The sequence below is a fragment of the Homo sapiens genome, chromosome 21 (genome assembly GCF_000001405.40).
Source record: "Homo sapiens chromosome 21, GRCh38.p14 Primary Assembly".
NCBI classification, from domain to species: domain Eukaryota; kingdom Metazoa; phylum Chordata; class Mammalia; order Primates; family Hominidae; genus Homo; species Homo sapiens.
In genome coordinates, this window is record NC_000021.9 from 28960171 (window position 1) to 28978395 (window position 18225).

The following is an 18225-nucleotide window of genomic DNA, read 5'->3' on the forward strand; positions in this document are numbered from 1 at the left end:
AGCCTGGCCAACACAGCGAAACCCCGTCTCTACTAAAAATATAAAATTTAGCCAGGCATGGTGGCATGCACCTGTAGTCCCAACTACTTGGGAAGCTGAGGCACAAGAATCACTTGAACTCAGATGTTGTAAGCCAAGATCACACCACTGCACTCCAGCCTAGACGACAGAGGGAGACTCAGTCTCAAAAAAAAAAAGAAAAAAGAAAAGAAAAGAAAAAAAAAAATTTGAATGAGTAAGTCCTGTTATTTTTAACCAATAACACATAAGCTGAGCCCCATGCAATCCCCCACAAAGGAGAAATGGACTATTCCCCATTAGAAAACAAAAGCCATATTTGTCCTACCATTTTTAACATGTTGGGATAATACCAAGCTTAGAAGAGTCCATCTTTCTGAGAAGTGAGATTCTGAAGATACCCTGGATTCCAAGTCCTCATTACAAAGACAATCTGCCAAGTTGACCAATTTCTCACCAAGGATATCGCCTTTGAGCCAAGGAGTTACTAAAGCATGTTTATCTGAACTAGGACATGCCTAAAACCATAAAATTAAAGCAAAGATTAACAGCAAGATCAAATACTCTCTCTGTCCAAAATATTACTTGTACCATATTACTATCCCTTCGTTATCATGGCTCCAATTCTATCCCCCCTCCTCCTCCTCCTGAAGTTCTAGGAAGACTGGTATCCTCCCTGTTCCCCATTAAGCCTGTATGATGTTCACTTCCACGCTTTGCTGTTACCTTCCCAGCCATAAATATTCCCCCACCCCCCCCTTTTTTTTTTAACTTAAAATCCCATCCATTCTTTGAAAATCAGTACAAATCCCACCTACTTTATGGAGTCTCCCCATCCACTCCAGCCCACAATGATCACTGCTTTTCTCTGAATTTCTAAAGCACTTACTGGATTGTATAATTATTTAAATGTTTCATCTGTGTATATCTTGTCTTTCCAATGAGATTGTAAGTTCCTTGAGAGTAGAGACTGTCTTAAACTTCTTTGATACCTGCTATCAACACTGTAGATATGTTCAATGAATAATGAATAAACTTTGAAGATAGATTTATAAATGCTCTATAAATTTTTGTTCATTAATTTTGCTAAAATTAAAGAACAATTAGTGTATAATAATGGTAAATTACTTCAATATGAACAATGGGATTTATTTCCCCAAATTCTCTGATATAGAGTTACTAGGGCCAGATATCTGACAGCAACTTATTTTCATGAGGTGGGGAAGCAAGAAAAAAAAAAGCTGTAAATCCACCCCTAAAGCATGCTGATCCATGTTCCCAGAGCTTCTTTTGCTTTAAGGGCTGAGAAGTAAGGAATTTGCAACTTGGTTCATTTCAAAGCAATCTGGAAGAAAAAAAAAAATCCAAGTGCAGATTGGGTAGTGCTTGGAAAACTTTATCCTTTTATTTAAAAATTGTAGGTAACCAGAGCTTATATTTTAGTCCAAGCTTTATCACTAACTAGCCTATGACCTTGGACAAATCTTTTAATCAGCGTGGGCCTATCTCCTAATTTGAAAGTTGGAAAGATTAACTTAGAAAATCTCTAAGGTCCTTTTCTGGTTCCAAAACTCAAATCTGTTTTTTAATTGATGGTTTTTTTAAAAGATGACTTTAAGACCAGCCTGACCAACCAACACGGTGAAACCTTGTCTCTACTAAAAATTCAAATATTAGCTGGGCATAGTGGCAGGTGCCTATAATCCCAGCTACTCGGGAGGCTGAGGCAGGAGAATCACTTGAACCCGGGAGGCAGAAGTTGCAGTGAGACGAGATGTTGCAACTGCACTCCAGCCTGCTGGGCAACACAGTGAGCCTCTGTCTCAAAAAAAAAAGATGATTTTAAGACTCTGCTCATAAAGTATTAAGGTTCCATAAAACAAGAAAAACTACTTTAGAGTTTAGATGGCTGTGATACCTGTTTTCCCAGTGTAGTTTGCCAAGTAAAACCAATCTATTCTGCAGAATCCTGGTAAACAAAATAAACTTCTGAATAAAATGCCTCTCGAGTTAGCAAGATAAGAAATTCAACATAATGTACAGGCATACCTTGTTTTATTGGGCTTAATATTTACTGGGCTTTGTAAATGCTGCAATTTTAAAAATTGAAGATTTGTGGCAACCCTGCATTGAGCAAGTTTATTGGCACCATTTTACAACAATATATGCTCATTTTGTGTCTCTGTGTCACATTTTGGTAATTCTCACAATATTTCAAACTTTTTCATTATTATGTCTGTTATAGTGATCTGCAATCAGTGACTTTTGATGTTACGATTGTAATGTTTGGGGGTGCCACAAACCATTGCCATATAAGAGGGCAAACTTAATCAACAAATATTGTGTGTGTGTTCTGACTGCCCCGCTGACCGACCATTCCCTAATCTCTCTTCTCTGTCCTTAGGCATCCCTATTCCCTTAGACACAACAATGCTGAAATTGGGCCAGTTAATTACACTACAATGGCCTCTAAATGTTCAAGTGGAAGGAAGAGTCACACATCTCTCTAAAACAAAAGCTGGAAATGATGAAGCTTAGCAAGGAAGGCATGTTGAAAGCCAAGACAGGTGGAAAACTAGGCCTCTTGTGCCAAACAGCCAAGTTGTGAATGCAAAGGAAAAGTTATTGAAGGAAATTAAAAGTGCCACTCCTGTGAGCCCAAGAGTAACAGAAAGTGACATAGACTTACTGCTGATATGGACAAAGTTTTAGTGGTCCAGACAGAAGATCAAACGAGCCACAACATTCCCTTAATCCAAAACCGAATCCAGAGCAAGGCCCTAATTCTCTTTAATTCTATGAAGGCTGAGAGGTGAGGAAGCTGCACAAGAAAAGACTGACGCTAGCAAAGGGTGGTTCATGAGGTTTAAAAGAAGAAACCATCTCCACAATACAAAAGTACAAGGTGAAGCAGCAAGTGCTGATGTAGAAGCTGCAGCATGTTATACAGAAGATCTAGCTAAGATCAATAATGAAGGTGGCTACACTAAACAGATTTTCAGTGGAGGTAAAACAGTCACATATTAGAAGAAGATGTCATCTAAGACTCTCATAGCTAGCAAGAAGTCAATGCCTGGCTTCCAAGTTTCAAAGGACTGGCTGACTCTCGTTAGGGGCTAATATAGCTGGTAACTTTAAGTTGAAGCCAATGCTCATTTCTCATTTTAAAAATCCCAGGGTTCTTAACCTTATGCTAAATCTACTTTGCCTGTGCTCTATAAGTGGAATAACAAGGACTAAATTACAGCACGTTTATAGCGTGGTTTATTCAATATCTTAAGCCCACTGTTGGAAAAACGAAGGAAAAAAAGAAAAAAATTCTACAATAAGTAGAAATATTACTACTCATTGACAATGCACCTGGGTAACCCAAGACCTCTGATGGAGATGTACAAGGAAATTAATGTTGTTTTCATGCCTGCTAACACAACATCCATTCTGCAGCCCATGAATCAGAGTAATTTTAACTTTCAAATCTTAATATTTAAGAAATACATTTCATTAAGCTATAGCAGCCATAGACAGTGATTCCTCTGATGGATCTGGGCAAAGTCCACTGAAAACCTTCTGGAAAAAACTCACCATTTTAGATGCCATTAAGACATTCATGAACCATGGGAAAAGGCTAAAATAGCAACATTAATAGGAGTTGAGAAGCTGATTCCAACCCTCATGGATGACTTTGAGAGGTTCAAGACTTTAGTGTAGGAAGCAACTGCAGATGTGGAGGAAAGAGGCAAAGAACTAGAATGAGACATGAAGCCTCAAGATGTGACTGAAATGCTGCAATATCATAATAAAATGTGGATGGATGAGGAGTTCCTTCTTACAGATAAGAAAGTGGTTTCTTGAGGTGGAATCTACTCCTGGTGAAATGCCGTGAACATTGTTGACATGACCACAAAGGATTTATAATATTACATAAACTTAGATGATACAGCAGTGGCAGGGTTTGAAAGGATTGACTCCAATTTTGAAAGAAGTTCTTCTTTGGGTAAAATGCTATCAAACAGCATCATATGCTACAGAGAAATCTTTCATGAAAGGAAGAGTCAATCAATGCAGCAAACTGCACTATTGTCCTTATTTTAAGAAATTGTCACAGCCACTCCAGCCTTCAGATACCACCACCCTGGTCAGTCAGCAGCCATGAACATTGAGGCAAGACTCTCCATCAGCAAAATGATTACAACTCGCTGAAGGCTGAGATGATCATTAGCACTGTTTAGCAATAAATTAATTTTAAATTAAGATATGTACATTGGTTTTCAGATATAATGTTATTGCACACTTAATAGACTGTAGTGTACACATAACTTTTATATGCACTGGCAATCCAAAATACTTGTGTAACTTGCTTTATTGCTGTGGTGTGGAACTGAACTTACGATGTCTCTGAGATATGCCAGTATGAACATATCTAATGAAAGAAGCTGCCTAGCTGTAAGGAGATGAGGAGGCTAGTGAGTCATGGAAGCGCAGGCAGCAAACACTGGCTAGGAACTTCCAATCACTGCTCAGGAAGAGGATTTTCTTCCACACAGATGTGAGTATTTGCACTTCACGGCAGGTACATTCCTAAGTTGGAAATGGATACATTAGTCTACTCTTATCAAATTATTTGCACCCCCTGCTCTGAATCAAGGCTTATCAAGGAGCTTTCTGATAATTTAGCTCTTCATGTAACTTGGCTACAGGGAGAGAAGGCACTAGATAAACTAAGGCAAATAGTGTGCCTGATAAGTCATATTCCTCATTGAAAAATAATAAATATTCTGTATTTATTTTGTAAAAATAAAACTATGGGGAAAATGGGGAGTTACTGTTTAATGGATACAGGGTTTCAGTTTTGCAAGATGAATTAAGTTATGGAAACTGCACAACGATGTAAATATACTTGATGCTACTGAACTGTACATTTAGAAATGGTTAAGATGGTAAATTTCATGCTATGTGTTTTTTTTACTACAATTTAAAAAATAGAAAAAAACTTGCAAATTCAAGAGTTAGCTATGAAAACAGAAAAATAATTTGAAAATGCTTTAAAAAGGAGTAAGAATTTCAGGTAGCTAGTCATAACATCTCTACAGTTGGAAAAGTGTTAGTTATAACATTTACATCCTCATTAGGAAAGAATACTTAAGCCGTTTTGAAAATTTGTAAATTGTTTATGTTCTTTCATTTCTTTTCATTATTCTTACCACTAATTTTCTTAGTCAGTGGCAATCACACAAAGACTGGAAGATTTTTATTTACCTACATAGTGTTCCAGAGTAGAGAAAACTTAATTTTCTCATGTGTTCTACCCAAAGCTAGAACCTCCAATCCATTTCTGCAGTAGAAAAAGTAACTAGAATAACAGCAGAAAGTTGTAGCTTTAATTAAAAGATAATAAAATGTTTAAATCTGCCTTTGTTACCTTCTAGGAAAGAAACACTGGATTTTCCAGAGCCTGTTCATTTTTCCCTAATATTACTAACCAGAAAAATACTACTACAGGAAAGGAAAAGAACAAATATCTTCCCACATTATAGGAAGAAAGTTACAATAATGAGGAAGTTCTCTAACACAGAACCTGACTATCTGACCATATTTATTGTGTAAATAGGACTACGGTTATAATATTTCTATTCCCATAAATACAAAAAAAAAAAGAAAAAAAAATCCCTAAGATACCTTTTCAATAATCTTAAGAAGAGAATTCCATTTCAAGTCCACCTGAAAAAAGAAAAAGAGTTAGAAACAATCTGCTAGAACAACTTTTTGTTTGAGATGGGGTTTTGTATGTTGCCCAGGCTAGTCTAGAACTCATGGGCTCAAGCCAATGTCTCACCTCAGCCTCCTGAGTAGCTGGGACTACATGCATGCGCCAACATGCCCAGCTAAAACTTTTAAAAAGTAAATGAAGTACCCATGTAACCAATACAAAACTAAAATGTTCTTATCCAACTTTTTAAATGTATAGATTAAAAGAATTCACCTTTTAATTACAAGTATTTGTCACCCTGGTACTGCTGAACATCTACCCAGCAGCCCTAGATACTTCCCAAATCATGATCAAGAATATATTGCTTGTCCTAAAATTGACACTCACAGTGAAGAAACAACCAGAAAACAATAAGCAGGCTCATTCTACTCATCTATTATTCAAATAGTTTGAAAAGATATACAACAGGAATACCTTGGTTAGATCATCCAAGACTTTTTTTCTTTCCATATCATTGTCACAGCACCGGAGAGCACTGTACAAAATGTCCACCAGGAAACCAAAATCCTTCCTTTGATCTTCATTTAGCCAACCTATCAGTTTCTGGTATAAAAACTGCACCGCAGGATTTTTTTGTACAAGCTTGGCTATTTCAAGAGGTTTGGCTTGGACAATACTCTGTTTTTCATCACCAAGTAGCATTTTAAATACTCGGCTTGAAGAAAAGGAGTCAAGCAGAGTAGAAAGAAACCTTAGATGTTGCTCTGACTTTCGTTCATTGACATAATTAATACTTATATCTGCGAGTTTACAGACTAAGTCTTCCAAAGGTTTTTTCCTTAGAGGAGACAAAAGGCCTGAAGAATTATGAGTGAGAGAAGGTTCAGTTGTTAATTCCCAGCCTTCAATCTTCTCTCCTTCTGAAGATACACATTTTTCATTCTCTTTATTGCTTTCAAGTATCTCATCAGCAAATCTAACCTTACCATTTTTTTTTTTACTTGACTTCAATGAGCTCTTCGGCTTCTGAAGCACCTGTAATAGGTTAGATACACCCAAAACGGACTCAACATCAGCTTCTGGCTCACTGATTTTCGCAACACAGATCTCTGACAGTCTTTCCCAGAAATGTATCAGTACGTTCTCCAAGTTGTGAGCTGTTTTTTCATCTTTTTCCGTGTCTGCTTTGGCTTCCCAGGAACTTAGAGTTTCTGCTAAATGGTTAAATAGCTGCCCATGTTGCAATCCTGGGTCTTTGAGAACTGCATCAATAAAAGGGATCAACTGAAAGAAAAGGTAGAATATCATAAAATATATATTTGGTCTTCAACCCCCATCTCCTGGCACACAACTCTAAAATCCTTGGAATCTCCAAAGTGATATCATTTCATAAGCTAATGGGTTGATTGATGGCTGGCAGCACCTGTATAGCAGGATGGGGGCTGATCACCAGAAAGACCAAGGCAGGATTAAAGGGCTAGAACTTTCAATACCTCCCCAACCTCCAGGGATAGAAAGGTAGCTAAAGGTTAAGCTGATCACCAGTGGCAATTACTTAATCATTCATGCCTAGTAATGAAGCCTCCATAAAAACGCAAGAAAGACAGCATTCAGGGAGCTTTCAGATAGCTGAACATGTGGAGGTTCCTGGAGAGTAGCGCACCCAGGGAGGGAGTGGAAGTTCTTCACCCCTTCCCGTATCTCACCGTGTGCATGTCTTCATTTGTATCCTTTGTAATATCATTTATAATAAACTGGTAAATTGTTTCTCTGAGTTCTGTGAGACAGTCTAGCAAATTAAGCAAACCCCAGGAGGGGGTCATGGGATCCCTGATTTAGATGTACAGCTGGTTGGTCAGAAGCCCAGGTAAAACAGCCTGGGGCTTGCGATTGGCATCAGAAGTGGGGAGCGGTCTTGTGGGACTGAGTCCTAAGCCAGTGAGATCTGACACTATCTCCAGGTAGATAGTCAGAATTGAATTGGAGGACACATAGCTGGTATCTGCTGCAGAACTGACTGCTTGCTGGGTGGGAGAAATCTCCACATATTTGGTCACAGAAGTCTTCTGTGTTGATTACTATGATGTGAGAATAGAGGAAAAATTGTTTTTTCCACTCACAGAAGGTAAAAAATTGAAAAGTTCAATTTTCAAGAGAAAATTTAAACAAAGTATTTGTAAAACACTATTTCATATTTAATAACTGAAAAACATAAATTTTCCCCTAGAACTCTGAAAAAGTTAACCTAAAGATCCCTTTCATATCATACAAGAGCTTAATGATTTCACCTCAATTATTCCTTTTTCATGATAAAATTGACTGGGATTCTTGGTCATTAACAATCTAGTTTTCTTTGCATCTTCTGGATTTAAGTGTTTTGCTTTTCTGCCTTAACTATAGGCAAATCTAAGATATGAGACTATAAGTCAACATGAAAGATACCTAGGACCCACAGAGTGCGGAATCCTATTTCCTAAATTACAAAAATAAGGGTAGAGACATCCTAAGACCTGGGCTTCTATAATCTCACTAATTTCCTACTGTAAAGAACCATATTCCATAACCTTCTCTCATCTCTGGTTCTAAAAGCCAAGCCAAACTTTCACAAAGCATAATTTGAGTATTTTAGAATTAACAAGATGATTGCTTCATGATTTATTTAAACTTACTACAAAAGATCATAAATAGCAACTTCAAAATTCTGCTTTGCATTACATCTTTCTTTTTTTTTTTCTGAGATGGAGTTTCACTCTTGTTGACCAGGCTGGAGTGCAATGGCACAATTTCGGCTCACTGCAACCTCTGCCTCCCAGGTTCAAGCAATTCTCCAGCCTCCTGAGTAGCTGGGATTACAGGCATGCACCACCACACCTGGCTAATTTTGTATTTTTAGTAGAGATGGGGTTTCTCCATGTTGGTCAGGCTGGTCTTGAACCCCCAACCTCAGGTGATCCACCCACCTCGGCCTTCCAAAGTGCTGGGATTACAGGCGTGAGCCACGACGCCCAGCCTGCACTACATCTTTCTAAAACAGGGTTTTACAGGCCGGGCGCGGTGGCTCACACCTGTAATCCCAGCACTTTGTGAAGCCGAGGCGGGTAGATCACCTGAGGTCAGCAGTTCTCGACCAGCCTGGCCAACATGGTGAAACGCCGTCTCTACTAAAAATACAAAAATTAGCTGGGTGTGGTGGCGGGTGCCTGTAATCCCAGCTACTTGGGAGGCTGAGGCAGGAGAATAGCTTGAACCCGGGAGGCAGAGGTTGCAGTGAGCTGAGATTGCGTCATTGTACTCCAGCCTGGGCAACAAAGAGCGAAACTTTGTCTCAAAAAAAAAAGGGATTTTTGCATCCAGACACTGATTAGTTTCTTAGGTATCATACCATGCTAGCAACTGAGAGTATGGAATTTTTACTTATCTGGTCAGAAATACACATCACTCAATTGGTAAATTATAAAAATAAAATTTTTACAAGGAAGGCTTATTACTGTAAATGGCAACAAGACACAATGAGCTTGATCCTACATAATCAGTATGCAAAGAGACTGACGACTTTTACATTATAGATACCTGATCATTGACGAGCATCTGTTCAATCTCTTCCTCACCTAAGTTTTGCTGCATTATAAAACGTAAGCATTCAAAAAAAGCAGATATTACTGCCGAGGACTCTAAAGAGCTGGTTTTAGTTCTCTCTGTTGACAGCCTAAGAAATAATTAATAACTGGATTACTCTTTCATGAAGAAGAAACAAGAACTCAGAATTATCAAAATAAAGACCTCAAAAAGGCATCATGACAGAAGAAACATTTTTAAAGCAGTTTCTTAAACTACAAATTAAATACCAATGAAAATACATATAGCCCAATGAGAATATGAACTTAAAAACTTTGAAAAAGTTTTTCAAAAAATGTATCAGTAAAAAATAAAAATAAGAGAATATTTCCTTTTTCTTTTTCTTCTTTTTTTTTAGAAATAGGGTCTTACTATCTTGACCAGGCTGGTCTTGAACTCCTGGCCTCAAGCAATCCTCCCACTTTGGCCTGTGCTAGGATTACAGCTGTGAGGCACCACGCCTAGCCGAGATATTAATTTTCTATTCATGGACCAATCCACCTGCAAATTCGAGATAACTTATTAACCAAATAAAGATAATGGTGTAGTAAAAAAAATCTGTAATCATTAATAAAATGATGTATCTTCTAAGTTCAACAAATGTACTGAAACAGTTTTTTTAAGTGTGAATTTAAACATCTATAGTAGTTAAAGTTGTTGATGTTTTAAAAATTTCACTGGCTAATTTTCTGCATTTAGGCATTTGTATTTATCAACATAAAAAATAAAAAATGGCTACATGTGTCTGTGGTGCAATTGGTTAGCACATTCTGCTGTTAAAAAAATGGCTAATTTGAAAAATAGCCTAGTTGACCTATTTCCAACAAGGAGCTTTACCTTATTTATCTAACTTCCTGCTGTGTGCTACCACTGAAGTCTTGAACGTACTCAAGAAAAAAATATCAATTGTAATTCTCTGAAAACTTTAAAAGTATTTAATGAATAGTAAAACAACTTGGAGAAATTTAAGTAAGAAAGAAAATGAGTATAAAAACAAGAAAATCTGTTTTGTTTTAAAAATCAAAAATTTAAATTACTTACCCAGCAACTAGAGACGTGAGGAAATTTTTGAAGAAATCCAACTTTGGATTTGTGATGGACTGAGGGAGCTTGCTGATGAATGGCAGAAGGTAAGGATATATGACAGTAGCTAGACCCCGACCACCTTCACGAATCACAGTTGATAGCTTGGGAAACACACTCTTTTTTGCATTTACATGAAGCCAACAGTCCTAACCAAACAAAAGATTATAGTAGTAATTAGAGATCATAAACATACTTTTCTCAATTAAAAGAGAAAACATATAGGCTCTCAAAAAGAAAAACCAAGTATTTTACCTAAAAAAAGCTAAAATCTTTCACCACCATTAAAAACTAAAACTGAAATTATAAATGTATTACATATAATGATCATATATTCGACATGCTTACAATAAAGTATTGATTAGAAATAATTATTTAACTTCTATTTCTATAAAAGCTGCTTTCTAAAAGGGACAATTATATTTCAATCTTAATTATATTTCATCTTAAATATAAAATTCAGTTATGGTGACTGCACTAGGACACATAAGGTTTAAAGAATAATTAATACTGGCAAAACAAAATAAAATAAAAACTCTATGCCATTTTAGTCACTTTAAGATTTATGCCAAGTTTAGATTATTTTATTTCCAAGAAAGCATTTTCCCAGTAAGTTTTGGATATTCTTATCTCATAGGTTCATTCCTCAGTGTACTAAATGTGCCTCTCTTACATACCTCAATAGTTGTAAGTGTATAGAGTACAGCTTCCCAGAGAGCTGGGCAGACAATTGGGTCACTGTCATCAATGCTAAGTAGAACTGATGGGCTCACTTTGGATGCTTCCTCTTTCATCAACTGTGGAATGCGCTGGCACAATGCAGAGACTAACTCAAAATAAGCTGAGCGAATCTAAAAGAATGCAAAGCTGAATTAAATTAAAACCTAGTAAAACTTGATAAGATTTTTAATTTATGGTAATAGTAGATTATTCACACTAACCCTCCCACTAAGAAAACTAAAATAGCTAGAAAAAATACTTTTTAAAATCTTAGAGTATGAAATGGCTGAAAAGGCATAAGGAATTACCAAGGCAAAAGTGAAGGCTGAAAGAATTAATTCAACTTTCTCTTTCTTTGACTGAAGCAAACACAAATCCTCTTTAGTAGCAGAAGCCTTCATTTGGGGCCTCCATTATAGCCAAACAAACAGAAAATAAGACACCATGAGCAACAATCAGGAGAAATAAAAGATCTGAGACTTTAAATCTTAGAATGATCAGTCACAAATTCTATAATACAATGCTTATTATATTTAAAGGAACAAAAGTTTTAAAAAACTTGTAAGAAAAAGGATCCTGGAAAAAGCAGAGCAGATCGGAAAAAGATCAAGCACAATTACTCAACTAAAAATAATTAAAACTTAAAGCTCAACTCGTAGTTTAAGAACAATGCAATGGTCTGAATGTCTCCCTCCAAAATTAGTATGTTGAAACTTAATCACCAGTGTGATAGTATTAAGAAGCGAGGACTCTAGGAGATGATTAGGTCTTGAGAGCACTACCCTCATGAATAGGATCAGAGGGCCCTTACAAAAGGGTATGAGAGACCATGTTTACTCCTTCTGCCATGTGAGGACACAGCAAAAAGTAGCCATCTTTGAAACAGAGAAAGCAACCCTCACCAGACACTGAATCTGCTGGCACCTTGATCTTGAAATTTCCAGCCTACAGAACCGTGAGAAATAAATTTTTATTATTTACAAATTACTCCATCTAAGGTACAGTTTATCCCTTGGTACCTGCAGGGGATTGGATCAAGGATATCCCACCCTCCCACCCCCACACATATACCAAATTCTCAGGAATTACATAAAATGTCCCTGACATAAAATGGCGTAATATAGTCGGCCCTCCATATCCACGGGTTCCTCATCTACAGTTGATTGAATCCACACATGCAGAACCTGCAGATATGGAAGGCTGACTGTATTTTGTTAAAGTAGCCTGAATGGACTAAGACAGCTGGAGGTTAGATACAAATAAGAGAGAATCAGTGAACTAGAAGACCGAGCAAAAGAAATTATCCGCAAAGCATCATGGAGAGACAAAAAGATGAAAAACAACAAAGAAAACGTAACAGACATAGGGGATAAAGTGAGGCTTAATATCTATTTAATCAGAATCCCAAAACAAGAGAAGAATGAGGAAGGAAATACCTAGAGATAATAGCTGAGAATTTTACAGAGCCAATGAAATACACCAAGTCAAAGATTCAAAAAGTCCAACAAATCCCAAGCAGGATACATAAAGGAAATCCACACAAAGACACATTATGCAACTGGGAAAACACAAGGAGAAAAGTAGCCCAAGGAGAAAGATAAACTACCTTCAAAAGAAGGACAATAAGACTGATAGTTAATTTTGACATCAATAATTTAATCAGAAGACATGGAATAGTATCTTCAACACAAAAATAACTACCAACATACAATCCTGTACTCAGCAAATATGTCTTTCAAGAATGAGGATGAAGGCCGGGCATGGTGGCTCACATCTGTAATCCCAGAACTTTGGGAGGCTGAGGCGGGCAGATCACTTAAAGCCAGGAGTTCAAGACTGGGGTGGCCAACATAGCAAAACCCCATCTTTACTAAAAATACAAAAATTAGCCAGGCATGGTGGCACATGCTTGTAATCCCAGGATTTGGGAGGCTGAGGCACAAAAATCACTTGAATCCGGAAGGCGGAGGTTGCAATGAGCCCAGATTGCACCACTGCACTCCAGCCTGGGTGACAAAGCAAGAATCCGTCCCAAAAAAAAAAAAAAAAAAAAAAGAATGAGGGCAAAATAAAAACACCTTCTGACACAAAGCAACAAATATATAGGCAAATGTAAACAAAGATTGAGAGTATAATATTTTGTGAGATTTAAAAATACATACATATCTAACCCCACAAAATATTTTATGTATATTTTATATAAAATATTACCAAATCAAAGTTAGCAAAGTATTTTAAAAGACATGACATTTATAAAGACAGCAAACTTCTAGCTATGCCAAGAAACTTTGATCATAAAACATCAGAAAAATCAAGAAAATTTTGCTTTGCTTAGAAATCAAGCATTCATTCATGAAAGAAACAAAAACCATAAGGACTGAGCAGATTGTAAAACATTATTCTAGAATGCAAAAGACCTAAGATAACCAAAAGAATTTTGAAAAGAACAAAGTTGGAAGTTTTCAACACAATATAAAACATTCATAATCAAGTGCATGGTATTGGGTGTAAGGATAGACATACAGATCAGTGGACAGAACAGAGTCTAAAATTAAAGTTGTACATATACGGTCAAGTGAATTCTGACAAAGATGTCAGAATAAGGATGGGATAGTCTTTCAGCAACTGAATACTCCATAACCAAAAAATTAATTTTGACTCTCACCTTCAGTTTATATGCAAAAAAAACCTCTAAATCCACTACATGGAGCTAACCTATAAAACTTCTAAAATAAAATATAGAAAATCTTTGCAAACTTGGGCAAAGATTTCTTAGATAAGACATCAATCTATTAACTGGCCATTCAAATAATAAAAATAAAAAATAAGACATCAAAAAGCACAACCATAAAAGAAAAATGATCAATTAAGCTTCATCAAAATTAAAACATCTACTCTTCAAAAACACTAATGAAATTAAAAGGCAAGCCATATACTGGAAGAAATCATTCATCATACTTTTATCTGACACATACTTCTACTCAGGATAAATACAGCACACTTGCAACTCAAAAATAACCAAACTGCAATTTTAAAATGGACCAAAAAATATGGATGAGTGAGAGCCCAATATATCAGTCCTCCTAAAAAGGAAGCTCTGTGGATAAAACACACACAAAAAACAACTACCTGAGGACTCTGGAGACTGAAATACAGATGCATTTTAGAAGAGAATCAAACTGGGAGTAAGTGATCCATGTAGATTGAGATCCCAACTTTTGCAGCTTTGCCCAAACGTGGCTGTGGTCGCCATCACAAAGGCACAGGACCAGCTACAACTTCAGTAGAAAGACTGACATCTTTCTGGCCAGAGGAACTAGAAGAACCAGGAAAGAAGGCCAGGATAATGCGGGATGACGCAGGAGAGTGATGGGGGACTCTAGAAAGGAGAGGGCCACAGAAAGGAACCCCTATATTCTGTATTTTAACAGCCTAAATCTATAGCTTATCTCTGAACCATGCATGTGCACTCCACTATGCCCAGCTAATTTTTAAAATTTTTTTAGAGATATGAGTCTAACTATGTTGTGCAGGCTGGTCTTGAATTCCTGGCCTCAAGTAAACTAGAAGCAGCTTAAAGCTAAAACAAGAAATGAACTGAGAGCTAAGCCATTTCCCACCACAGGCATAATGGTTTGGTATGGGTCTAATCAAGTTAACTGCCTCCTAACAAAAAAAAAATACCCTTTGGATAAATATAAAATAAACCAGTCTCCAAAACATAACATTCACAATGTCCAGTATACAATCTTAAATTAGTCAACATACCAAGAGCCACAAAAATGTGGTCTCATCACAAAGGATAAGACAGTTAACTGATGTCAACCCCAAGATGACCCAGACGTTATCAGACATGGATTTTAAAAAGCTATTAAAACTATACTCAATAAGGTAAAGGAAAATACGATGAGGATGAATGGGGAAAAAATAGACAATTTCATCTAAGAAACAGAAAATATAAAAAACCAAGTGGAAGTTCTAGGAATAAAAAATATATGAAATAAAAAATAAGCAAAAGATTACAACAGACACCTCCAAAAAGAAGATATACAAATGGCCCATAAACATATTAAAAGATATTCAACATCATTAGTCATCAGGGAAATGCAAATTAAAACCACAATGAGAAACCTCTATTCCAGAGGTCAGTAAACATTTTCCATAGGGAGATACAGAGTAAATATATTAGGGTTTGCAGGCCATGTCATCTCTGTTGCAACTACTTAGCTCTGCTTTGTAGAAGTAAAGTAGCCATAGATAATACATAAAACTATTTACAAAAATAGATGTTTCCCTCGTGTCCATGGGGATGAAAAAAACAAAAACAGATGTGCCAGATTTGACACACGAGCTATTGCAATGCCTGATCTCATACCCAGGAGAATGACCTAAATTAAAACGGCTGACAATATGAAACATGAGGATATGGAGCAACTAAAAATCTCACACATTGCTGGTAGGAGTACTACAACTTTAGAAAACATCTTGGTAGCTTCCTATAAACATATACTTACCATATGACATATCAATTCCTCTCCTTACTCAAGAAAGATAAAAACATATGTTCACACGAAAACTGTACAAAACTAAACAATAAAATGGACTGCTGATATATGCAACAACATGAATGAATCTTAAAACATTACACTAAGCAAAAGAAGCTAGATAGAGAGTAATGCCTAGCTCCATTTATATGACAGCATAGAAAAGACAAATCTAATCTGTAGTGATGGGAGGCAAATCAATGACTGCCTGGGATAAAGGCAGAGGATGACTTGGAAGGACAAAAGGAATGCATTTTGGGTAAAAAAAAAAAAAGTTCTATTTCTTTATTGTAGTGGTTATATAAGTATATATACATGTAGACAGGTGTACACATCTGTCAAAACTTAAACTATAAAAATGGCTGCATTTTACAGGACTGTGTGCAAATTATACTTCAAAAAAGTTGATTTTTTAAGAATTATCATAGGATATTTTAAAGTACCCAAATAACTTGAGAGAGGCCAGGCATGGTGGCTCACACCTGTATTCCCAGCACTTTGGGAGGCCAAGCCTGGTGGATCATTTGAGGTCAGGAGTTCGAGACCAGCTTGGCCAACACAGTGAGACCCTGTCTCTACTAAAAGTACAAAAATTAGCTGGGCATGGTGGCACGTGCTTGTAATTCCAGCTACTTGGGAGGCTGAGGCAGGAGAATCACTTGAACCCAAGAGGCAGAGGTTGCAGTGAGCCAAGATGACACCACGGCACTCCAGTGTGGGCAACAAAGTGAGATTCTGTCTCAAAAAAAAAAAAAAAAAATTGAAAGAGATGAGAAGTTCATGGATAGGAAGACTCAACAACATAAAGAAAGCAAGTTTCTCCATATTGGTCTATAAATTGAGTACAACCACAATTAAAATTCTAGTTAGACGTTTTTGAGAAATTCAACAAATGTACTGGAATTTGTTTTGTTGAGACAGGATCTCACTCTATTGCCTAGGCTGGAGTGCAGTGGCAGTGCAATCAAAGCTCACTGCAGCCTCAATCTCCCAGGCCCAAGTGATCCTCCCACCACAACTTCCCAAGTACTTAGGACTACTAGCACTCCCCACTGTGTCTAGCTAATTTTTTTACATTTTTTAGATGGGGTCTAACTATGTCATGCAGGCTGGTCTCAAACTCCTGGCCTCAAGTCATCCTCCCACCTTGGCCTCCCAAAGGTCTGGAGTTACAGGCATGAGCCACCACGCTCAGCCCAAATTTACTGAAATTTTTATGAAAGAATAAAGTTCTGGCCAGGTGCAGTGGTTCATGCATGTAATCCCAGCACTCTGGGAGGCCGAGGCAGGTGGATCACCTGAGGTCAGGAGTTCGAGACCAGTCTGGCCAACACGGCAAAACCCTGTCTCTACTAAAAATACAAAAATTAGCTGGGCGTGGTGGCAGGCACCTGTAATCCCAGCTACTCGAGAGGCTGAGGCAGGAGAATCGCTTGAACCCAGGAGGTGGAGGTTGCAGTGAGCTGAGATCATGACGCTGCATTCCAGCCTGGGCAACAGAGTGAGACTCCATCTCAAAAAAAAAAAAAAAAAGAATACAACCCAAAATATGTGACTAACCTGAGCAGGTATTAGGACATATCATAAGGCCAGGCACAGTGGCTCATGCCTGTAATCCCAAATGGGAGGCTGAGGCGGGCAGATCACCTGAGGTCAGGAGTTTGAGACCAGCCTGCCCAACATGGTGAAACTCCATTTCTAGTAAAAATACGTAAATTATCTGGGCATGGTGGCAGGCGCCTCTAATCCCAGCTACTCGGGAGGCTGAGGCAGGAGAACAGCTTGAACCTGGGAGGTGGAGGTTGCAGTGAGTTGAGATTGCGCCACTATACTCCAGTCCAAGTGACCGAGTGAAACTCTGTCTCAAGAAAACAGCCTGGCCAACATGACAAAACCCCGTCTCTACTAAAAAATACAAAAATTAGCCAGGCGTGGTGGTGGGCACCTGAGTGCCAAGCTACTCGGGAGGCTAAGGGAGGAGAATTGCTTGAACCTGGGAGGTAGAGGTTGCAGTGAGCTGAGATCGTGCCACTGCACTTCAGCCTAGGTGACAGAGTAAGACTCTGTCTCAAAAAAAAAAAAAGACATATCATAATGTCATACTGACAGTGGCACTGGTATAACAAGAAACAGAGACCAATGCATCAGAACATAATTTAGGGCAAATTTCTGAATGTATGATTTTTTTTTTTAATAGGTTCCTGCTCTTCCCCTAGGCTGGAGTGCAGTGGCACAATCATGGCTCGCTGCAGCCTTGACTTCCTGGGATCAAGCGATCCTCCTGCCTCAGTCTCCAAGCAGCTGGGACAATAGGGGTGTGCCACCACACCCAACTAATTTTTTAATTATTTTTTTGTAGAGACAGGGTCTTGCCATGTTGTCCAGGCTGGTTTGGAACTCATGGGCTCAAGTGACCCACCTGCCTTGGCCTCCCGAAGTTCTGGGATTACTGGCATAAGCCACTGTGCCCAGCAATATATAAGAACTTAATGTCTTGTAACGGCATGACCACAGATCAACAGGGAAAAAAAATAAACA

General features: G+C 37.8%; 1 protein-coding gene across 6 annotated transcripts in view, besides 1 other annotated feature; it reads right to left on the reverse strand.

Annotated features, from left to right (window-relative positions):
* LTN1 (listerin E3 ubiquitin protein ligase 1) overlaps positions 1–18225 on the reverse strand; it is a 64734-nt gene that overhangs the window by 32027 nt on the left and 14482 nt on the right. For 2 of the 6 annotated variants that reach the window (NM_015565.3, XM_047440741.1), the window contains 6 exons: positions 11101–11274; positions 10382–10572; positions 9296–9431; positions 6200–7009; positions 5695–5736; positions 347–536 (listed from right to left, as the gene is read on the reverse strand). In NM_015565.3, the coding sequence (NP_056380.3) occupies positions 347–536; positions 5695–5736; positions 6200–7009; positions 9296–9431; positions 10382–10572; positions 11101–11274 (1543 nt within the window). The other 4 variants (XM_047440740.1, NM_001320766.2, XM_017028317.2 and 1 more) reach the window with 4 other exon arrangements.
* Positions 8614–8796: a silencer, noted in NCBI's record as "fragment chr21:30341106-30341288 (GRCh37/hg19 assembly coordinates)". NCBI's record gives its function as "represses an EF-1alpha promoter that drives an FKBP-Casp9 reporter gene in an ReSE screen in HepG2 liver carcinoma cells {active_cell/tissue: HepG2}" and the evidence as "EXISTENCE:reporter gene assay evidence [ECO:0000049][PMID:32094911]".